The sequence below is a fragment of the Homo sapiens genome, chromosome 20 (assembly GCF_000001405.40).
Source record: "Homo sapiens chromosome 20, GRCh38.p14 Primary Assembly".
NCBI lineage: Eukaryota > Metazoa > Chordata > Mammalia > Primates > Hominidae > Homo > Homo sapiens.
In genome coordinates this window covers 57,647,030-57,669,235 of record NC_000020.11, presented here as the reverse complement: position 1 = coordinate 57,669,235, position 22,206 = coordinate 57,647,030, and the positions used below count along the sequence as shown (strand labels likewise).

The window sequence follows — 22,206 nt, the reverse complement described above, 5'->3', positions numbered from 1 at the left end:
AGTCAAGATTGCACCACTGCACTCCAGCCTGGGCGACAGAGTGAGACTCTGTCTCAAAAATAAATAAATAAATAAATAAATAAATAAATAAATGTGCTTTTTTATTCAGTGTAGTCATTACGTGCCTGCCTTGGGGAAGGCACCATTCTAGGTGCTGAGGACACCATGGAGAATGAGTTCGCTCTGAGCCACTGATATTCCAGAGGGGAGAGGCAGAGAGTGCAGTGTTGGGTGGGTCATATACAGCTTCCAGATCAGGGCTGCAGAGATCAGTAAAGCAGGCACAGGGATGGGGGTCCTGGAGGCTGGAGGGCAGAGGGCTGTTTTAGTCTGAGGCAGGGACCTGGGGGCCGGGATCAAGGCAATGAAGGGAGCAAGCCATGAAGATATTGAGGAAAAATCATTCCAGGCAGGAAGAATGGCACGTGCCAGGGTCCTGAGGTGGGTCATGCATGGTGCTTTTATAGAACAGAAAACAAGTGGCTGGAACAGAGCACATGGGGGAGGAGCCCAGGGGAACTGGAAATGGGTGATCAGCACCCAGCTGTCTATATGCTGGAGCAAAGGTTCACACCTGAAAATATCCAGAGTTTGCTGTTTCACTCTGCAGAGGTGCTCCAGCCTACACTGCACATAAGTGATGGCGCTGGACCGGGGCCTGCTTAAGGGAACCTTCTCCACCCACTGTGAGTTTGGATGCCTGCAGCTCATGTCTTGTGGGGACAGGGGACAGGCGTAGGAGGAGCCTAGCCCAGAGCTTGGAGTTCTTGACTCAAGAGGTTCCATCCGGGAAGTTAACTTTCGTAGTTCTTGCTACAACCTTGTGTACAGGGGACTTAGTTATCTCTCCGTTTTCTTCTCAGATGAGGGTACCAGGAGATTTACTGAAGGTCACAGCAAATGGCAATGCGAGGACTTGAGCCCAGGACCACTGGGTGCTAGCTGCATGCTGTTAACCTCTATCCCAAGATTCTACCAAGAACAGCAGGGCAGGGAGCCAGCGCAGGCCCTGATGTGGGCCCCAGTCCCCACCCTGGCTGACCACGTGACTTGTCCCCTCTCAGCGTCCCTCCCCAACATGGGACAGTGTCCCAGGTTCACCTGTCCGGGTGCCAGGTGCTCAGCCGTGTGCTTGCCACAAAGCAAGCACTCTGAAAGCAGTACAGTCTGGTTTTAAAAACGAGAAAACCGGCCTAGATTTGCCGCCCGCCCCCCAAACCTCAAGAGGAAGACAGAGCAAATTTTTTTACCCATAAAAGGTCTTACCCTAAGAAATAGACATGCCGTCGGGGGTGTTTGAAATGGCACCAGGAGTGATCAGAAAGTTATTCCTTTGACGGCTGGTTTGATTGTACTTAAAATTCGGGGGGCTGGGGTGGGGTGGCAGGGAGCTGGGTTCCTATTCAAATGTAGTGGGGGTAGGTAGGGGAGAGGGCAGTAAATGAAGTGGCTGGAACCCCAGGGCCGCTGGGGCTCTGCAGAATGACAATGAGGCCCCGCCAGGCGGGTCTCATCCAGGCAGGCCTAACAAGATTAGATTTTCATAAATTTCAGACAGCGCCAATTCCTAATTCCTCGGTGTGCGGCCAGGAGGCCAGACAGGGCCCCATGCACTGGCTGCTTGTTAACCAGGAAGGACGCCAGCTGCCCCTCCCCTGGGACAGACTGTTGGGGTGGCGGTGGAGGGGGGTCGTCTGGTCTGGAAACCTCCATGGGGCCGGCAGGAGCCGGGTGGACTCTGCTCCCAGCTCCCCAGCTGAAGAGAGAGAAATGAGCCCCAGCACCCCATTGTTGCCCCCGTTATTTCTGAGAAACTCAGTCGCCGCCGCACCTCCCCGCCTAGTGCCCCCGTGGGCTGGGTGGGTTCTTCTTGCACATTAACAAATTTTCCAGCGACCCTCTCCCCGTTTACAGCCATGAAACGTCCCAACAGGGATCTGAACCCTGAGGCCCCTGCTCTGCCCTCAGTTCAGGTCCAGGCTCTGCCCCCAAGAACAGAGGTCCAGAAACTTGGATGGGAAAGAATAGTGTCTTTGCCTTACCTGAGCTCTAACTGAAAGGTGGGGTCCCCTTGGATCCCAAATGCAGGCACCTGACCATCGTCTCCTTGACTGCACCAAAGACACAGCTGGAGGTGGGAGCCACCATCTTCACTCCACAGGCCCATGTCCCGTACAGGCCTTCCAGCTCTGGACGCTGTGGGTGTCCACTGCGAGGTCATTTAATGCAATTATATTTCTGTATCGCACACGTGCCATCGTGTGTATCATTCCCGTGTCACAAATCTGCTTCGGAGTTTGGAAACTATTTCCAGGCCCGTCCCCTCGCCTGTGATTGGGGCAATGCTGCCCCTCGGGGCTTGTCATGAAAAACTCAGAGACAGGGTGAAGTCTTTCGTGGTGAGGGGCTTGGCACACAGGAAGAGGCAGAGGAGAGGGCAGCTGTCAGCGTCTGTGTTATGCCATGGCAGGTGCCCATAACTCCTGGCACCCGCTTCCTTCCTCACCGTCCGGATTTTGCTCTGCGCTGGCTCAGAGGTGGGTACCACAGGCCATGAATACCAGCTTCATGGACTGCGTTGGGGGCGACACGCCAGGCACTTGTTACTGACCCCAAGATCAGTCACATTCAACACAAGCCCTTGGCTCAATCTCCCGCTGTTTCTGGCATTTTGGGATAATCACACTCAGGACTGCTGGGGGTCGGGCAAACGGTCAGGCTTTGGGGTCAGAGGAACTCATTTCTGAGCCTTGGACTGTGCGGTCTTTGGCGGTCGCCTCACCTCTCCCAGCCTCAGTCTCCTCATCTGCAAAGTGGGGGTCCCATAAGTACGGACCTCACAGAATGACGGTGAGAATTCAATCAGATGATGTGCATAAAGGGTTCGGCCCCCCTGCATGGCATCTAGGGAGTGGCCTGCTCACGGTTCCTCTCCTGCCAGTGTAGGACAAACAGGACAGGGCAGAGCTGTGCCCGCACCTCCCAGAGGGACTGTGCCTGTCTCTGGAGGAGACCATGAAAAGGAGGATGGGGCCTCTCCAACGAGGCACACGAACCTGTTAATGTGAAATTATTCACAAGGAAAGAGGACACTAAATTAAATTAGAGTGACCTTATTTTGTGTTTGGAAGATGGGCTTGGTCACCCCCGAGAGCCTGCTGCATTCATCACCCTCCCCAAGGGAAAAATTACGAAGAAAAATGGCAGGAGCCCCCGGGCCCTCCAAGTGATGAGCACAGCCTTGATGCCCAGAATGAAATGAGAGCGAGATGTTTCTCCTTCCCAGCGGCTTGTGTTGCCACGGCGGGCCCTTGGGGGAGAGAAAGGTGCCTCCCCGCAAGGGCCTCAGAGTCAAGTTCAAAACATGATGTGTGTATGAAGCGGCACCAATATAAACATGGGATCCAGCGCATGTTAGCCCCTGAGGGGCCTTGGGTCCAGCCACCATCCTGGGTGACCTTTGGGACTGACTTGAGCTCAAATCTCCCACCTTGGGGACAGAAGCCAGTCAGGGAACACCTGGCTAAGCAGGCTTGTACTCTGCAGCCCAGCAAACCTCAGCATTTCCAGGGACCATCAGGGGAACGAGGGATGCTTTTTGTCCCCAGAGGAGTGTCAGTAATTGTGACAATGGTGACAGTTGAGTGTGCTACGTTCTGTCCCGTTCTGAGCTCTCGCATCCATTATTTCACCCCTGCCCCGGTTGGTTCTTTTTTTTTTTTTTTTTTGACAGATGAGGTAACTTCCTCTCAAGGAGGTAGATGCGCACAGCATCACACAGACAATGGATGCACGAGGACTGGACCAGAACATCAGAACCACATCCTCAGATTCCCGGGGCAGGGGGCGGGCGGACTAACGCCGTGGGCGAGCTAGGAAAATTTAGCAGGAGAATGAAACCCTTCCCCCTTTTGAGTTCCTATATGGCGGCTCTGGGCTCAAGTCTCAACCTTGCTCCTAGTTGCATCTTCTAGGGCTACTTCTCCCTAAGCCTCAGTTTCTTCATCTGCAAAATGGGCATGGTGATGTTACCTAAATTGGGGAGGCTCAGCTCAGTGGCCCCGGGTCATGTGTTAGAATCATGACAATACTTACAGTGACTACAGTGAGTTTGGGTGTGCCCTCTCCTGCTCTGTCCCCTGTGGCCTATGACTGCTTGGCAATGTGTCCTGTGGTCACAGCAGAGTTGAGCCTAGGTCAGGGACAGTGGTAGGACCCACCCCTGCAGGTGTCATACTGGGCATTTGATCTGGGATGTCTTTGTCCATGCCTTGGTAAAGGGGCAGTCTGTCAGATTAGGGAAACTGAGGCAGGATTGGTGTGGCTCCATATCTGCCAGTAGTCACTAAGTGACCTGGGGCCCAACTCTTGGCCAGAAGTCCTGAAGCCGCCTGCCCTGCAGATGCCTTGGGTGTGGCCTGCTTGGCCCTTTTAAAACTCTTAAATGAGGTTCCAGCCTTAAAGGACCACAGCTTCACAGCCGGCTCCAGGGTCCTCTGGAGAGAGGGAGGGATGCGGCCGCGCTGGGCCTTCTCTCCTTCCGCCTCGCGTTGGCAGTCCTGCTGGGGTTCCTTCCCTTGCCCGCGAGGCATCTGATCCTGAGAGTCCGGCTCTCAAGCTGCGACTGGGAATGGGCCCCAGCAGCCTCCCTGCGCTCCTCGGAACAAATGCAGGCACGAAGAGGATTCTGCGAGCTGCCGCGGGTGGAGAGCCGTGTTTATATTGGTGCCGCTTCATACACACATCATGTTTTGAACTTGACTCCAAGGCCTTTGCGGGGAGGCACCTTTCTCTCCCCCAAGGGGTCTTTGCTGGTGGATTCACGGTGCCTGCCCAGAGGGATGTGTGGGACTTAGTGTGGGGAGGGAGCCCATGCTTGATGAACTCGGCCTGAGTGGGCCCTGATCAGTGCGTCGTAGAGGCCCGCATGCTGAGTCTCAGGCATCCCTGGGGTGGTGTGGGGTGGGGACCGACAGTGTCAGGGCGTGGCTGTCCCAGGCCAGGTGAGTCCCGGGACCAGGCCTGTGGAGAGGGTGGCTGCCCACAGCCCTGCTCCCGTGATGCCAGGTGGGAACACGGCTGGGGCCAGGGACGGTCGGTGCGCGTGCCCTTGGGTCTCTGGTTTGCGACCGACCTCGCCAGCAGGCACTGCATGGTCCACTCCCCAGAGAATGCATTCCTGTCCCCTAAAGCTGAGCGTCTCCTGGAAGCAGCACCATGGGTGTGAAAGTGCGTGGAAGGTGCCTCCTCACCCCATGCCCAAGGGTGGTCTTCGTTGGACCTGTTTGTGGGCCCCAATGCTGCTGTGCCTGACCAGCCTTCCTCCCGCACAGCATCCGCGCCGGTGGGGCTTGACTGGAGCTGGATGGAGATTTCGGGGCCTCCTTGGCCCAGGGTGTTGCCTTCCTGATGGGTGGGGGTGACCCGGCTGCTGGCTGGAGCACCTCTCTTGCCCCCCTCAACACCTCCAGGTCTGGGCATGTCCAGGGGCATCCAGGAGGGTCTGGGTTCCGGCCTCTGCTCACCTATACCCTCTGCCTGTGCTCCACTCTGCCCCGCACTCCGTGCCCTGCACCAAAAGCCTCAGTGCCCACCTTACAGGGAGCCCTCCAGGGTCTTCCATTAGATGCTCCCTCTGCGATTCCAGAGCAGGTCATGTCTCTTTGAGGGTGGATGGGTTTGGGCCACCCTTGTTCTGGTGGAGCCAGGATGGAATTGAGCATCCCGTGTCTGGGTCCACCTCCAGGGAGCACTACATGCTGAGCACATGTCCCCCGCACATCCTGCTGCCCACTGTCCCCCTGCTGCCCACCGTCCCCCCGCTGACACAGGGAGACTGCGATGGACTCAGAGAGGGCCCCCAAGAGCCAGGCTGGGACCCGGGCCCTCTGAGAGAGCCACTGTGCTTCCCTGCCACCACCCTGCTCCTCTCCAGGGTGCTCCTGAGCCGTAGTCTCGGCAACCCTTGCAAATCTCCATCTCCCTAAGCCTGGACCCAGGCCCTTGGCTCACCAAGTCTAGCCAGCAGTCAGTTGTAGTTTCTCTTTTCTAGAGAGTTTTTCTCTCTCCTCTCCCATGTGAATTTTCCTGGGCCAGTGACCCAATGGGAGTTGGTGGCCCAGGGACCAGGGTGACGCTCTTATGCGCTACTGAGCCCGGTGCTCATTTCTGGGAGCGTTTTTCTCACTCTGTGGATACAGACGTCCAAAAGTCAGATCCCCCTGCCCCTGGGGCCGAGCCTGGCGGGGCCAGGAGAGCCGTGAGGGTTTGTCCACACCCATTCAGTCTGCAGGGGCCTCCTCCATTGCCCCTGCATCCCACCGGCCCTGCAGCCCCAGCTACCGTCTCACTGCTGTCTGGGTCCTGCGGGCTGCCAGGGCCCGGGACAGGGACAAAAACAGCCACACACCTCCCTCCCTCCAGGGCTGATGTGGGCTGGGCCCCTGGAGACAGCTGGGGAAGGGGGAACTGGGGTGAAGAGTGCACAGGGTTGGGGGGCAGGGAATTGCAGGCCCCGGGGGTGGGGGGGCGTGGGTGTTACACAAAGCCAGCCCTGTGTGTACCCTGAATGCGGCTTTATCCTGAGTGCTAACAGACGGACCTGGGCCCTACAGAATCAGGCCAGGCTGCCCCGGCCCTGGACCTGCCTGTCTGGGGAGACAGGAGGTGTGGCCACAGCGACCTGGGTCTGAAGCCTGATCTCTCCTGGCCAGGAACATGCGGGTGTCCCACAGGCGGCCCAGGGCTTGGGGCCTGAGTTCCCAGCAGGCAGGGCCGAAGCCTTCTCGGGGCTTGGGAAAGCCCCACCAAGCCTAGTGGGAGGACGCGCCAGCTCTAGGGTCTTGGACTTCTCGAGGCAATCACTTTTCCCTCTGAGCCCGTGTCTCCTCACCCGTGAAATGGGGATGATAATAAAAACGCCCGTTCTTAGGTGTGCTCAGCCCACAGCATGACCGACTGGATTGGATCATTCTTTGTCATGGGGGACAGTCCTGTCGGTGCAGGACGGTTACCACAGCCCCTGGCCTCCACCCACTCCATGCCAGGAGTACCCCCCAGTTGTGACAACCAAAAATGGCTCCAGACATCGCCACATGTTCCCTGGGTGCAGACGTGGCCCCAGCTGAGAAACACTGGCTCATTAGCAGTGTAGACAATGGCGCGCTGAGCCCTGGGTGCAGATGCGGCCCCAGCTGAGAAACACGGGCTCAGTAGCAGTGTAGACAGTGGCACGCTGAGCCCTGGGTGCAGACGCGGCCCCAGCTGAGAAACACTGGCTCAGTAGCAGTGTAGACAATGGCGCGCTGAGGGTGGCACAGATGCATAAAGTGCCCGAGACGGGGAAGTTCTGGAAAACCTGTTGGGGAAGAAGGAGTGGCAGTGGACACAGGTGTGGGAGTGCTTCTGTGTGGAGAGGCGTCTGCCACTTCACAGACAGTGACATTCCCACCTAGGATGGGCTGCTTTCCTGCCTTGGGGAGAGCGAGGCTGGTGGCAGGAGATGGCTGGGCCCCCCGGGTTTGGAGTGTGCTTGCCTGGGCTGTCTGATGGCCCGAGCGCCTGGCATCGGCTCTGCACGGCCTGTTTTTTCTCCAGTTGCCACCTGACACCTGCCCACCCCGATCCCCCTCCCCCGGCTTTGGTTCCTCGGTCCTGGGAGGAGGAGGAACTGAGTCAGTGGCACTGGGCTTGAACTGGGGCCCCCAGGGAGCCTGGCTAATTGCTTGTTAGTGCCAGGGAGCCCTGGGGAGTCCTCCTTGCCCCCATGCCAGCCGGGGTCTGGGGAGTCACATTCCTGCACACCTTGGGCAGGGTGTCCTGGGCAGGGCGAAGCTGGAGGAGCTTTGGCCCCGGACGCTGCCGGCTGGTGCCCACTCTGCCGTGTCAACTCCAAGGGACCCGGCGTCTTGCCCATTGCTGGGGGCTCTGCTGGCACCGTGCTCGGCCAGCTGCCGAGGCCGCTTCGGCACAGACCCGCTTGAGTCAGCAGAAACTGCCCGGCTCAGGCAGGATCAAAATAACCTTCTTCCTATTCCAGCACTTGAGGGTTTTTCCGCCTTCTAGGGGAAAAACAAATCAAAAACCAAAAAAGAAAAAACAAAAAAACCCAACCTTAGAAAATGCGAATGGCAACATCCGCAGCCATCTGGAATGTGGGTTTTCTGAGGCCTTTTCACCAAGAGGAGGGTCCTGACACCCCCGTCCTGTTGAGCGTGGCGTGTGTTTGTGAGTCCTGGGATGGATGTGTGTGTGTGGGCACGTGTGGTGCGCTGTGTCTGTGTGTGTTTGTGTCTGTTGGGAAGTGTGTGTTGGGATGTTGACTTGGGTGTGGGACTGTTGAGGGGTGTGTGTTGGGGTGTTGATATGTGTGTAGGAGTGTTGGGTCGTGTGTTGGTGTTGACGTGTGTGTAGGAGTGTTGGAGTATGTAGTGTTGTTGACGTGTGTGTAGGAGTGTTGGGGTGTTGTGTGTGGAGGAGTGTTGGGGTGTTGTGTGTGTAGGAGTGTTAGGGGTACGTGTTGGGGTGTTATTTGTGTAGGAGTGTTGGGTCATGTGTTGGTGTTGATGTGTGTGTAGGAGTGTTGGAGTATGTAGTGTTGGGGTGTTGTGTGTGTAGGAGTGTTAGGGGTACGTGTTGGGGTGTTATTTGTGTAGGAGTGTTGGGTCATGTGTTGGTGTTGACGTGTGTGTAGGAGTGTTGGAGTATGTAGCGTTGTTGACGTGTGTGTAGGAGTGTTGGGGTGTTGTGTGTGTAGGAGTGTTGGGGTGTTTTGTGTGTAGGAGTGTTAGGGGTACGTGTTGGGGTGTTATTTGTGTAGGAGTGTTGGGTGTGTGTTGGTGTTGACGTGTACTTAGGAGCGTTGTGTGTGTAGGAGTGTTGGGGCATTTGTGTTGGTGTTGTGTGTGTAGGAGTGTTGGTGTGTTGACATATGTGTAGGAGTGTCAGGTGTGCATAGGTTTGTGTACACACGTTCACATGTAGCTCCTCTTTGTTTAATTCCACAAAGCTTCACTCCCAAACTCAGTGCCAACTTCCTCTCTCCGCACTCAGGGGTCCCCTTCTCCTCCCAACTGCTCCCTCCCTGGGCCCCTAAGAAGGGTCTGTGACCGTCTGCCCGAGCCTTTGCCCAGCGACAGGAGCCAGTGCGCAGGGCTCCCTTTCTGCCAGTCAGCTCACGCTGTGCATCTGCAGAACGGCTCCAGGAGGCTCTGAGAGCAGAGAGCAGGGCCTTCCTCCTGCCTGTCCCGTTACCTCCTTCCGGTCAGTCCCTACAGAGGGGGTGTCTGGGTCCCAGGACACCTTTGAGGTGCTCTCCCAGCCAGCAGTACCCCCTCCTCCGCCGTGAGAGCAGCTTCCCTGCACGTACCCCAGCCCCAGGCATCGCCTGTGACCTTGCCGGGAGAGTGGCGGGGGCTTTCCTGAGTCTGGGTTGCACTCTCGTCCCCCTAGGTGGGTGAAAAAGCTCAAAAGGGCTGAGCCCTGAGCACAGCGACCTGCAGGTGTCCAGGGTCTCACGTGTCCCTCTTTGTCTCCACAGCGGAGCTGGAGTTTGTTCAGATCATCATCATCGTGGTGGTGATGATGGTGATGGTGGTGGTGATCACGTGCCTGCTGAGCCACTACAAGCTGTCTGCACGGTCCTTCATCAGCCGGCACAGCCAGGGGCGGAGGAGAGAAGATGCCCTGTCCTCAGTAAGTGCCCCGCCATCCCATCTGTGGCCTGAGGGTGCGGCAGTGGGACGCCCCTTGTAAAAACTCAGACGGGATCCAATGGCAGCGTTTGCAGGAAACAGATTCAGGGCAGGAAGACAGGGGCTGGGGAGCCCACCTGACAGCAGCTTCCTCCCCTGAAATGGGAGGAAAGCACCCGCCAGGCGGGCCTCAGAGATGCTGGAGGAACGTGGGGAATGAAGAGCTGGGCTGGGAAGAGGCTTCGTGATCCACTCACGCACTCAGCTGACTCTCGAGCAGCCTCGGGTCGCAGGCTCTGTGCAGGGCCTGGGGAGAGGGCAGCACACAGGTCCTTGCTGTCATGGAGCTGACGTTCCAGGAGGGAGATGAGACGCCCAGTGGTGATAGCGCCATGCAGGAGATGCGACCACTGGGACCTGGGGGAGCCTCTGCGAGGAACCCTCGGCTAGGGAGGCAGGGCTGGGCTCACAAGCAGCGCAAGCTGACCCCCGTCTTGACCCACATCTCTCGAGGCTGAGTGGAGACAGACCTAGAGAGATGAGGCTGAAAGCAGGGAGGCACCTGGGGCAGGCAGCACAGGAAGGCATTCTGGGTCCACACAGAGGCCTGACACAACAGGATGGTGGAGACGAGGGGCCGGCATTTGGCTCTTACCCACCGGGGTAGTGGTGGGAAAGGTGCCTGCAGTCCTGCAGCCCTGACCCAGACGGAAGGGAGGTGGCGGCCCTGCCCTCGTGCCCGTGCTATGCTGACATCTGGTCATGTGGTCACAATGCCTTGGAGAGCCATAGAGGCAACAGGACACCAGGTCCCGGGGCCTAAGTTTAATCCCATCTCCACCAGTACTGGCCACGTGCCCTCAGACCTGTCCCTGATCTACAAAATGGGGCTTCAGATCCCCCATTTGTAAAATGGGCTGACAGTCACATCCACCTCCCCAGAGATTCAGGGCTTTAGCACAGAGCACGGGTCTGGTCATTACTGGCTATAAAAGCACTTCCATCCATCCATCCATCCACCTGACAGATCTCTACCCAGCACACACACGGGGTATGCAAAATTCCCCCTGCGTTTGGGAAGTGGCTGTGAGCCAGTCCCAGGGGGTGCTGCTGGTGAGTTGGATGGGCGCAGACAGGAGCAGGTGCACGGATGAAGGAAGCCGAGGGCCGTGGCCAGGAAGTTGGGGCGAGCTGCTCTTGAGGCCGTGCTGTGCAGGACCAGGTGAAGTGGGCGCGGGAGTGTGAGGAGGACAGAGCCCTGCAGGAGGGACCCCGCTCTCCATTACAGTCCTGGGTGTTGATCTCTCAGAGTTGTGAGCATTGGTGGGTGTTCTGGAAACCCCAAGAATTTCCCTTTCGAATCTCCACAAAGTCAGGGGCAAACAGGGCAGATCTGGGTCGGTGGGAACTTGCCCGCCTCTGACGGTGAACTCCCGGCTCCATGTCGGCCGCCTGAAGCCCGGCTGTTCGGTATCCTTCAGCAGGTGGACCAAAGGGCGGCACAGAGTTAATCTCTTAATGGCTTCCATCTCTGCACCCAGGATGTGTAACTCAACCACGTGGGGCAGGAAGCGGCTGTTTAAAGAGCAGGCTGGGAACTGTGGGGAGGAGGTGGCACGTGGCCAGCCCTGGGGCTGCGGCACGTCTCTGAGCCGGGGCTCACCAGGTGTGGGGAGGACTCACAGAACAGGCAGCACTGAGTGTGGCCTCCCCACTTCTGGGGACGCCTGGGGTTGGTGGTGGCGCCCAGAGTCCCTGGGCTGAGCCAAGTCAGCTGAGAAGCCTGTTGGCCACAGTCCCTAGCCGGAAGGCCTGTCCCTGGCAGGTCTGGACACCTCTGCTTGCATCAGGCCCCAGCCTCAGTGCGTCACCAGGTTGCCAGGGCAAGGAGCATCAGCCCTGGGACCTCTGATGGGAATGCCTGGCCCACAGACCCGGGGCCCACTGTGCGTCCCAGCACGCTGTCCGGAGGGCGTGCTGCAGACCTGCTGCTCTCAAGCCCCGACGTGTTTATTTGCTGTTGCTACCACTCCAGCAACAAGCACTGGTTACGTCTGCCCAGGGATGCCATCAGGGACTTCAGGGGTTCACCCCACTTTCCAGAGGAGAAACTGGGGATGAGAGAGGTGGAACATTTGCCGGAGGCCACACTGCTTGTCACTGCCGGTGTGAAGAGCCCACAGCCTATTCCGTCCTCCCTCAAGTGCTGGGGAGAGTGACGGTGCCTGGACATTCCAGAAGGCACCAGCCCTGGAGGGGCACTAACTCCAGGCTGGACTCACCTTGCCCCTCGGAGCCTCAGTGTGTGCATCTCCACAGTGGGTTGAAGCTAGGCCTGTGCGGCCCGTGGTCATGGGGAGGATGCAGTTAGTGGAGAGTGTACCGTACCCAGAGGCCGACTGCAGGGGCTTCACTGTTGTGGAGCAGGAGACGGCACCTGGGATCCTGCTGCCAGGAAGGGGTAGGATTCCGTCACACCTTCGGCCAATAGAAAGTCTCCTCCCACTGTCTACCCAGCCGCCTGCACAGCCGCCCGGGATGCCTGGCTGGGTAAACGTGGAGCCTCACTAGGCCTAAAGCAGAATGTGGCAGCTCCCCTGGGGACCCCCTGCCAGACAGGAGTCCCTGGGCCCCGCGGCCTTCCATAGAGATCCACATACAGCTCTTATCTGTCCCGGGCCCAGTCTACATCCCCCCAGCCCATCCATGCTCTGCCCCTGGCATGGCTATCCGACCATGGCCCCTTTTCAGGGTGACCCTGGGGGTCCCCTCTTGCCTGTATGGAGACAAGAGCTCGTGCCTCACCCACCTGCCTCACCATCTCAGGTAAGACCCTGAGCTCTGAGGTCTTTTCTCGGCCTTGTCACCTCCTTGTTGTGTGACACTGGGCAAGGATCTGCCCTCTGAGGGTGAGGCTCCAGTGCAGGCAAGCCCCTCGACCAGGGATGGCACTTCCACCCTGGCGCTGCTCCGAGGGTATTCGGGACATGATGCAGAACGTCACTGCAGTGACCGCCCAGCCACGGAGTGGCGCAGACTTCAGGTTTACCCAGAAAGGCAATCCCAGTCTTTGTGCCCAAGGCCTGCTCAGACTAGGAACTCAGGCCTTGGATGGGGTGACCCTTTGTCCTCTTTATCCCCCAATCAGTCCTCAGTGTGGGTCTCCTGCTCCCGAGAGAACCCAGCCCACCAAGGGCCCATTTCCCAGGGGCAGGGACAAGACTGTGGCCAGGCCAATGTGCGACAATCTGCCAGCAGCGGGAGCCAAAGACCTAGCGTCCACTCCCATGGCCTCAGGAGATACCGAATTCCCCCAGGCCCCTTGTGCTGGGCTGTGGGGGAATTCAGTATCTCCTGAGGACATGGGAGGTACCGAATTTTTTAGGAACATCTCTTTATTCTTTAGAAACATCTCTGAGTCCTCGAAGTTTGATAGAAGGCCATCCCGTCCCCTTGGATGTTCCTGGGGACTCCAGGGGAAGAATGGGCAGCTACGTTCTGGCCTCGTGGTGTTAAGACTCTGGAGGGGTCTGGGAGGAGCTGCCTGAGCGTCAGCTCACTGCGGCTGCCTGGTTTTGTCAATGAGGTCTTTTCTGAGTGTGAATGAAGTGTTTTCGAGTGCGTTTTGCCCATAGCTGCGCTTGGCTGTAGCAGCAGGGTTCAGTGGTATGACAGAGACCCGCCGGCCCACAAACCAGAAAATATTTTACTCTCTGGCTCTTTATGGAAACAGTTTTCAGACCCTTGGTCTAGAAGCATCTAAATGGGGAAGGCGCAGGTGGACTGGGTGCGCCCACTTCAAAGAAGAGGAGTCCACCCCGAGCCCTGGGAGTCTGGGAGTGGTTGGAGGCTGCTGGGAGCAGGGGGCTCGTCAGCAGTGGCTGTAGGATTGGAACCTGTCCTTGTCCTCCACCTGGGGTGACTGGCAGACATAGCCAGAGGCTGGGGAAGGTTCCAGACAATTCTGAAGCTGGGCCCACCTCCCCCGACTTCTCAAGCCACTTTGGAACCTAATTCCACAAAGATGACTTGCACGGGTCACCCAGCAACTTCCGCACTTAAGTAGCAACCTGAGCACTCCCTGACTGCATAGCACGCCGGCGCCTGGCACTGGGGAAACGGTAGCAGCTCCTGCAGGGCGAGTGAGACCCCTGAATAGGCCACCGGGGGCAGAGGGACAAAGGCTGTGGTGCAGGAGGGGACTGGAGGAGATGGGAGGAGGTGCCTGACCCGCCTGGGGGGCTAACGGAGAGCTCTGGGGTTAGCACACCTGGGCAGAGGCTTGAGGGGCCAGTCAAAGTTCTTCAGGAAAGGGAGGAAAGAGGGGCCATTGGTCCAGACCCAGGATGGGCTCAGATCCAAAGGCAAGACGTGAGAGTCTGTGTTCACTGGGCACCTTGCAGAACACACTGTATGGTGCATTGCAGGCGCTGTCATCAGCCCGCTATACAGATAGGAAAACCCGTTAAAGGAAACAGCTATACTACGGCCGTGGACATCTAGGGGGTATGGGCCTCGGTAAGGGGTTGGAACTTTCTCTCCTGGAGGCAGCGGGGGGCCCAGACGGTTTAAGCAGAGGAGTGGCAGGGTGTGGGGTGGGGGGCATGAGGGAGATGTTCCCACTTCTGTGAGGAGGAAGGGCCCTGGGGAAGGGCAAGAGTGGAGGAGACCCTGGGAGACCCCTCAAGGACCTCAAAGACCAGCGGCACTCGCAGCCTCTGGGAGATGGTGAGACACGCAGGCTCGCCAGCCCTCCTGCTACAGAATCTGCATTTTTGCAGGCTGCAGATGGACTGTCTGCACATGGAGGCCCTGGTTCCATAGGACTTTGCTGTCCACTAGGCACAGATGCTGGGGAGAGAGGTGGATAGAACTGTCTAATAGAAGGAGAAGTGAGAGGGGATCAAGGGTGGGTGGAACAAGGGTGGTGGGGAGAGGAGCTGTCAGGAATGATCCTGTGGATCTGGCTTTGCAACTTGAAGAATATCAGAGCCATTCGCTAAATCAGGAGACGAGGCAGTTAAGACCTCCTTAAGGGGTAGGAGCGGTCCTGACGGGACAGTTTTGAGGGGCCACAGAGCCTCCTAGTGGCCATATGGGAAATTACCACCCTCTGGCCGTTCCTACCCAGGCTGCAGGTGAGCGGTATCCTACCTGGGAACCCTCAAAAAACCTGCCCCAAGGGAACGTTTGAGGTGATGGACATACTCATTATCTTGATTGTGGTGAGAGGTTCTTGGTATAAATATATGCCCGAACCAAATTGTATGCTTTGAATATGTCCATTTATTTGCATATCAGTTATATTTCAATGAAGCTATAAAAGTAACAGACATCCCTTTCCCCGGGCCCAGGGCTCACCGTCATGGCATTTGGGGAAACTCAGAGGAACTGGTCCTGGCATGGGGTCTCATTTTCCTCAGAGCAGATGGCATAAGCTTCATGAAGTGGCAGCTGTGCCCCTGCACCCAGACCAGAGCTTGGCGCCACAGTGGAACCACACACCTCCTTTGCCAGAGGCTGAATCACTGTTTTATGGCAGAGCAGCCGCCTTGGGCACTTTCCTCAACTCTCCTGTTTTTCACCTGTGAACTGGGACATCAGTAATGATGGGCTCACTAGATCAAGGGAGAGAAAGACTGTAAAGAAATAAATGCATAGAAGCAATGATTAAGTTAGGACAGGTGCTGGAAAGGGAATCAACAGATGACAAGGTTCACGGGAGAGGCCCTTCAGATGCTGGTCTCCAAGGGTCTGCAGGGGACGCTGGAACTGAAAGTGGACAGCAGCGGGCCGTGCAGCCTGGCCTGCCGTGTAAAGGACCTGGGGCTCGGGCTGAGCTTGTTGAGGCCCCAGGGGGCTGGTCAGCATGGCTGGTGGGAGTGTGGAGGTGACACCCAGCACATTCACATGCTACCTGAGTGCCACGTGGGCTCCGGGTGGTTTTTACATTCAAATTCAGCAAGTGCTTGAGCAACTATGAGGCAAGTACTGTAATCTCAAGAACTGTAATTCAGGTACAGAAACTGCAGCGTTGAAATTAAGTAACTTGACGCAGGTCACACAGCCAGCAGGGGGCCCAGGCCCAGGGGAGTGGGGCCAGGGGTGAGGGGCTGAGGCCATGTTCAGCCTGGTGAGAAGCCACTGAGGCCCACGGGAAGCTACAGGCAGCTTTGAGAAGGGGGCCCCACAAGTGGGTGTATGTTTTGGAAAGTGTCAGGCTGGATTTTCAGGGGACAGCAGAGGGCACCTCAGGGATCAGTGAGGAGGTGATTGCGCTCACGTCCTGGAAAAGCGCCCAGGGCCAGGGGCTGGGGAAGCTGGTTCCGATGCAGAGAGGTGGGCGGGTTCAAGAGCTGATTCCAGGGTAAAGGCCTAAGAGTCGAATCTGGGTTGAGCCTTTGCTGTCCCTCCTGCCCACCCCACTGACCCTGCTTGTACGTTTCTTCCTGTGCAGGAAGGATGCCTGTGGCCCTCGGAGAGCACAGTGTCAGGCAACGGAATCCCAGAGGTGAGACCTCCCTCGGCCTCCCCTCCAACACCCCCATCCCACCCTGGGCTGCTCCCGCTGCGGCTGGAACAGTGTGGGCTGCTAAAGGCTCACCCCTCCGCCCTCCTCTGCAGTGCCCTTGCTGCTGGGATCCTCCTTGCCGGAGATCATCTGCTCCCTGCCCCTGAGGGAGCAGCCCAGCTCTCTGCTCTCTGCACACGGGAGCACGGACGCTGCCACTGTTTGGAGGAGGGCGGTGCAGCTCTGCAGTGCTGCCCCCCAGGCCAGGGCCCCCGCGGGATCAGGCTCTGGGCTCCCGCCCCCGCCAGCCCTGCTGCCCTCTCCCTTTCCCCAGAGAGCCAAGTCCCATGCAGCAGAACTCCAGTCTCAGGATCGCTTCTGGACAACCCACCTGAGACAGCCGCCCTCCCTCACTCCCGCTCTGCTTCCTCCAGCCGCAGGTCTACGCCCCGCCTCGGCCCACCGACCGCCTGGCCGTGCCGCCCTTCGCCCAGCGGGAGCGCTTCCACCGCTTCCAGCCCACCTATCCGTACCTGCAGCACGAGATCGACCTGCCACCCACCATCTCGCTGTCAGACGGGGAGGAGCCCCCACCCTACCAGGGCCCCTGCACCCTCCAGCTTCGGGACCCCGAGCAGCAGCTGGAACTGAACCGGGAGTCGGTGCGCGCACCCCCAAACAGAACCATCTTCGACAGTGACCTGATGGATAGTGCCAGGCTGGGCGGCCCCTGCCCCCCCAGCAGTAACTCGGGCATCAGCGCCACGTGCTACGGCAGCGGCGGGCGCATGGAGGGGCCGCCGCCCACCTACAGCGAGGTCATCGGCCACTACCCGGGGTCCTCCTTCCAGCACCAGCAGAGCAGTGGGCCGCCCTCCTTGCTGGAGGGGACCCGGCTCCACCACACACACATCGCGCCCCTAGAGAGCGCAGCCATCTGGAGCAAAGAGAAGGATAAACAGAAAGGACACCCTCTCTAGGGTCCCCAGGGGGGCCGGGCTGGGGCTGCGTAGGTGAAAAGGCAGAACACTCCGCGCTTCTTAGAAGAGGAGTGAGAGGAAGGCGGGGGGCGCAGCAACGCATCGTGTGGCCCTCCCCTCCCACCTCCCTGTGTATAAATATTTACATGTGATGTCTGGTCTGAATGCACAAGCTAAGAGAGCTTGCAAAAAAAAAAAGAAAAAAGAAAAAAAAAAACCACGTTTCTTTGTTGAGCTGTGTCTTGAAGGCAAAAGAAAAAAAATTTCTACAGTAGTCTTTCTTGTTTCTAGTTGAGCTGCGTGCGTGAATGCTTATTTTCTTTTGTTTATGATAATTTCACTTAACTTTAAAGACATATTTGCACAAAACCTTTGTTTAAAGATCTGCAATATTATATATATAAATATATATAAGATAAGAGAAACTGTATGTGCGAGGGCAGGAGTATTTTTGTATTAGAAGAGGCCTATTAAAAAAAAAAGTTGTTTTCTGAACTAGAAGAGGAAAAAAATGGCAATTTTTGAGTGCCAAGTCAGAAAGTGTGTATTACCTTGTAAAGAAAAAAATTACAAAGCAGGGGTTTAGAGTTATTTATATAAATGTTGAGATTTTGCACTATTTTTTAATATAAATATGTCAGTGCTTGCTTGATGGAAACTTCTCTTGTGTCTGTTGAGACTTTAAGGGAGAAATGTCGGAATTTCAGAGTCGCCTGACGGCAGAGGGTGAGCCCCCGTGGAGTCTGCAGAGAGGCCTTGGCCAGGAGCGGCGGGCTTTCCCGAGGGGCCACTGTCCCTGCAGAGTGGATGCTTCTGCCTAGTGACAGGTTATCACCACGTTATATATTCCCTACCGAAGGAGACACCTTTTCCCCCCTGACCCAGAACAGCCTTTAAATCACAAGCAAAATAGGAAAGTTAACCACGGAGGCACCGAGTTCCAGGTAGTGGTTTTGCCTTTCCCAAAAATGAAAATAAACTGTTACCGAAGGAATTAGTTTTTCCTCTTCTTTTTTCCAACTGTGAAGGTCCCCGTGGGGTGGAGCATGGTGCCCCTCACAAGCCGCAGCGGCTGGTGCCCGGGCTACCAGGGACATGCCAGAGGGCTCGATGACTTGTCTCTGCAGGGCGCTTTGGTGGTTGTTCAGCTGGCTAAAGGTTCACCGGTGAAGGCAGGTGCGGTAACTGCCGCACTGGACCCTAGGAAGCCCCAGGTATTCGCAATCTGACCTCCTCCTGTCTGTTTCCCTTCACGGATCAATTCTCACTTAAGAGGCCAATAAACAACCCAACATGAAAAGGTGACAAGCCTGGGTTTCTCCCAGGATAGGTGAAAGGGTTAAAATGAGTAAAGCAGTTGAGCAAACACCAACCCGAGCTTCGGGCGCAGAATTCTTCACCTTCTCTTCCCCTTTCCATCTCCTTTCCCCGCGGAAACAACGCTTCCCTTCTGGTGTGTCTGTTGATCTGTGTTTTCATTTACATCTCTCTTAGACTCCGCTCTTGTTCTCCAGGTTTTCACCAGATAGATTTGGGGTTGGCGGGACCTGCTGGTGACGTGCAGGTGAAGGACAGGAAGGGGCATGTGAGCGTAAATAGAGGTGACCAGAGGAGAGCATGAGGGGTGGGGCTTTGGGACCCACCGGGGCCAGTGGCTGGAGCTTGACGTCTTTCCTCCCCATGGGGGTGGGAGGGCCCCCAGCTGGAAGAGCAGACTCCCAGCTGCTACCCCCTCCCTTCCCATGGGAGTGGCTTTCCATTTTGGGCAGAATGCTGACTAGTAGACTAACATAAAAGATATAAAAGGCAATAACTATTGTTTGTGAGCAACTTTTTTATAACTTCCAAAACAAAAACCTGAGCACAGTTTTGAAGTTCTAGCCACTCGAGCTCATGCATGTGAAACGTGTGCTTTACGAAGGTGGCAGCTGACAGACGTGGGCTCTGCATGCCGCCAGCCTAGTAGAAAGTTCTCGTTCATTGGCAACAGCAGAACCTGCCTCTCCGTGAAGTCGTCAGCCTAAAATTTGTTTCTCTCTTGAAGAGGATTCTTTGAAAAGGTCCTGCAGAGAAATCAGTACAGGTTATCCCGAAAGGTACAAGGACGCACTTGTAAAGATGATTAAAACGTATCTTTCCTTTATGTGACGCGTCTCTAGTGCCTTACTGAAGAAGCAGTGACACTCCCGTCGCTCGGTGAGGACGTTCCCGGACAGTGCCTCACTCACCTGGGACTGGTATCCCCTCCCAGGGTCCACCAAGGGCTCCTGCTTTTCAGACACCCCATCATCCTCGCGCGTCCTCACCCTGTCTCTACCAGGGAGGTGCCTAGCTTGGTGAGGTTACTCCTGCTCCTCCAACCTTTTTTTGCCAAGGTTTGTACACGACTCCCATCTAGGCTGAAAACCTAGAAGTGGACCTTGTGTGTGTGCATGGTGTCAGCCCAAAGCCAGGCTGAGACAGTCCTCATATCCTCTTGAGCCAAACTGTTTGGGTCTCGTTGCTTCATGGTATGGTCTGGATTTGTGGGAATGGCTTTGCGTGAGAAAGGGGAGGAGAGTGGTTGCTGCCCTCAGCCGGCTTGAGGACAGAGCCTGTCCCTCTCATGACAACTCAGTGTTGAAGCCCAGTGTCCTCAGCTTCATGTCCAGTGGATGGCAGAAGTTCATGGGGTAGTGGCCTCTCAAAGGCTGGGCGCATCCCAAGACAGCCAGCAGGTTGTCTCTGGAAACGACCAGAGTTAAGCTCTCGGCTTCTCTGCTGAGGGTGCACCCTTTCCTCTAGATGGTAGTTGTCACGTTATCTTTGAAAACTCTTGGACTGCTCCTGAGGAGGCCCTCTTTTCCAGTAGGAAGTTAGATGGGGGTTCTCAGAAGTGGCTGATTGGAAGGGGACAAGCTTCGTTTCAGGGGTCTGCCGTTCCATCCTGGTTCAGAGAAGGCCGAGCGTGGCTTTCTCTAGCCTTGTCACTGTCTCCCTGCCTGTCAATCACCACCTTTCCTCCAGAGGAGGAAAATTATCTCCCCTGCAAAGCCCGGTTCTACACAGATTTCACAAATTGTGCTAAGAACCGTCCGTGTTCTCAGAAAGCCCAGTGTTTTTGCAAAGAATGAAAAGGGACCCCATATGTAGCAAAAATCAGGGCTGGGGGAGAGCCGGGTTCATTCCCTGTCCTCATTGGTCGTCCCTATGAATTGTACGTTTCAGAGAAATTTTTTTTCCTATGTGCAACACGAAGCTTCCAGAACCATAAAATATCCCGTCGATAAGGAAAGAAAATGTCGTTGTTGTTGTTTTTCTGGAAACTGCTTGAAATCTTGCTGTACTATAGAGCTCAGAAGGACACAGCCCGTCCTCCCCTGCCTGCCTGATTCCATGGCTGTTGTGCTGATTCCAATGCTTTCACGTTGGTTCCTGGCGTGGGAACTGCTCTCCTTTGCAGCCCCATTTCCCAAGCTCTGTTCAAGTTAAACTTATGTAAGCTTTCCGTGGCATGCGGGGCGCGCACCCACGTCCCCGCTGCGTAAGACTCTGTATTTGGATGCCAATCCACAGGCCTGAAGAAACTGCTTGTTGTGTATCAGTAATCATTAGTGGCAATGATGACATTCTGAAAAGCTGCAATACTTATACAATAAATTTTACAATTCTTTGGAATGAGGCTTTTTCACTTCTTTGGCCAAATGTAGCTCTTCTCACTTCCCACCCCTTTCTACAATAACCCCGGGTGCATTCAAGGGAGGCGAAGCGATCCCTCGGAGCTGCTGGGCAACCTTGAACAGTTCGTTCAAACTTTCTGTTTTATTAGTTCAGGCAGCATTCAGGGAGCCCAGTGAAAACACTAGCTCAGGCAGGTTCTGGTAAAGGGGGTGGTCGTTGTTAAACAATTTTGCAAAACACTGCATACTTTTCCTCCGTCGGGAAATCATTATTCACCATAGCATGACGAAAGCTCTGATAAGGTCTGCAAGGAAAAAAGAAACTGTCTTAGGTAGGGTTCTTCCAGAAGTAACCCCAAGACGTGGCCTTGTGTGTAAGGGATTAGGACGTTTTAAGGATGTGCTCCCAGGGGGCTTCCGCTAAGGGAGTCAGGGAAGAGGATCAAGGAGGGGGAGAACCTGAGCAAGGGAGACACTTGTGGACAGAGTTCCAGCCTCAGCTTGATCCCAAGAGGACCTGTGGGGGCTCTGGACCCTGGAAAGGTAGAGTCCCAGACCCCTCTGGCTCCTGGTGCACAAGATGGAGGAGTGAGTCTCAGAAGCTGCAGAACTGTCCTCCCAGAAGCCAGCCACTAGCAATGCTCATGGAGACAGGGGGAGGGCTGTACAGACTCCCTAAAGGGTTCCAGTGGGACCTGGGGGCACCTGCAGCACCCACTACAGACCCTGTCTCATTTATTTTACTACACTTGGCCCTTGAACAACGAGGGGTTCAAGGCACGCTGAACCCCCTTGCTGTCAAAAATCCATGCGTTACTTGTAAATAAAATTTTTTTAGAGATGGGGATCTCGCCTTGTCACCTAGGCTGGAGTACAGTGGTATGATCATAGCTCACTGCAGCCTTGACCTCCCTCGAGGCTCACAAGGCCCTGCAGAGCCTTCCCATTCTCTCTGGCATCTCCCAGATGTTCCAGCAACATGCACCGGTTTCTCCCCCCACACACCCCATTTTCTCCCTGTGGCTATGCTCACTGCTGCCCCTTCTGCCTGGGATCCCCTTCTCTCAAAGCCCACATTGCCCTGACATCATTCAGACCCAGACCCAGTTCTGATAGCACCTTCTCCAGAAAGCCTCCCAGGATGCCCCCAGCTTCTCTGTGCCGGCTCTACTGAGGCAGTCACTGCACTGCTTGTGGCGTTCATGGCTCCTCCCCAAGGTCACTGCACTGCCTGAGGTCAGGGCCAGACTCACGTCCATTGTCCATGGGGGATAAACACGTGCTCCCAGGAGGGACCAGGCCTGCACTCCACAACTGCTTCCATTCTCACAACACCCCATTCTTCAGACATGGAAACCGAGGCA

General features: G+C 56.3%; 1 protein-coding gene across 5 annotated transcripts in view, besides 7 other annotated features; it reads left to right on the top strand.

Moving 5' to 3' along the window:
- The window catches only part of PMEPA1 (prostate transmembrane protein, androgen induced 1), a 63,077-nt gene extending 42,237 nt beyond the window's left edge, over positions 1-20,840 (top strand). For all 5 annotated transcript variants that reach the window (NM_199171.3, NM_199170.3, NM_199169.3 and 2 more), the window contains exons 2-4: positions 9,539-9,693; positions 16,150-16,203; positions 16,638-20,840. In NM_199171.3, coding sequence (NP_954640.1) covers positions 9,580-9,693; positions 16,150-16,203; positions 16,638-17,183 — 714 coding nt within the window. In that variant the 5' untranslated portion in view covers positions 9,539-9,579 and the 3' untranslated portion in view covers positions 17,184-20,840. The remainder of the gene's footprint in view (positions 1-9,538; positions 9,694-16,149; positions 16,204-16,637) is intronic.
- Positions 1,751-2,367: an enhancer, noted in NCBI's record as "H3K4me1 hESC enhancer chr20:56241925-56242541 (GRCh37/hg19 assembly coordinates)". NCBI's record gives its function as "activates a minimal SCP1, AML or CMV promoter by ChIP-STARR-seq in primed H9 embryonic stem cells {active_cell/tissue: H9 hESC(primed)}" and the evidence as "EXISTENCE:reporter gene assay evidence [ECO:0000049][PMID:30033119]".
- Positions 4,873-5,387: an enhancer, noted in NCBI's record as "H3K4me1 hESC enhancer chr20:56238905-56239419 (GRCh37/hg19 assembly coordinates)". NCBI's record gives its function as "activates a minimal SCP1, AML or CMV promoter by ChIP-STARR-seq in primed H9 embryonic stem cells {active_cell/tissue: H9 hESC(primed)}" and the evidence as "EXISTENCE:reporter gene assay evidence [ECO:0000049][PMID:30033119]".
- Positions 6,647-7,519: an enhancer, noted in NCBI's record as "H3K4me1 hESC enhancer chr20:56236773-56237645 (GRCh37/hg19 assembly coordinates)". NCBI's record gives its function as "activates a minimal SCP1, AML or CMV promoter by ChIP-STARR-seq in naive H9 embryonic stem cells {active_cell/tissue: H9 hESC(naive)}" and the evidence as "EXISTENCE:reporter gene assay evidence [ECO:0000049][PMID:30033119]".
- Positions 11,371-11,500: an enhancer, noted in NCBI's record as "active region_18168". NCBI's record gives its function as "activates an Ori minimal core promoter by ATAC-STARR-seq in GM12878 lymphoblastoid cells {active_cell/tissue: GM12878}" and the evidence as "EXISTENCE:reporter gene assay evidence [ECO:0000049][PMID:35858748]".
- Positions 13,336-13,933: an enhancer, noted in NCBI's record as "H3K4me1 hESC enhancer chr20:56230359-56230956 (GRCh37/hg19 assembly coordinates)". NCBI's record gives its function as "activates a minimal SCP1, AML or CMV promoter by ChIP-STARR-seq in primed H9 embryonic stem cells {active_cell/tissue: H9 hESC(primed)}" and the evidence as "EXISTENCE:reporter gene assay evidence [ECO:0000049][PMID:30033119]".
- Positions 13,934-14,533: an enhancer, noted in NCBI's record as "H3K4me1 hESC enhancer chr20:56229759-56230358 (GRCh37/hg19 assembly coordinates)". NCBI's record gives its function as "activates a minimal SCP1, AML or CMV promoter by ChIP-STARR-seq in naive H9 embryonic stem cells {active_cell/tissue: H9 hESC(naive)}" and the evidence as "EXISTENCE:reporter gene assay evidence [ECO:0000049][PMID:30033119]".
- Positions 14,727-14,806: a silencer, noted in NCBI's record as "silent region_13065". NCBI's record gives its function as "represses an Ori minimal core promoter by ATAC-STARR-seq in GM12878 lymphoblastoid cells {active_cell/tissue: GM12878}" and the evidence as "EXISTENCE:reporter gene assay evidence [ECO:0000049][PMID:35858748]".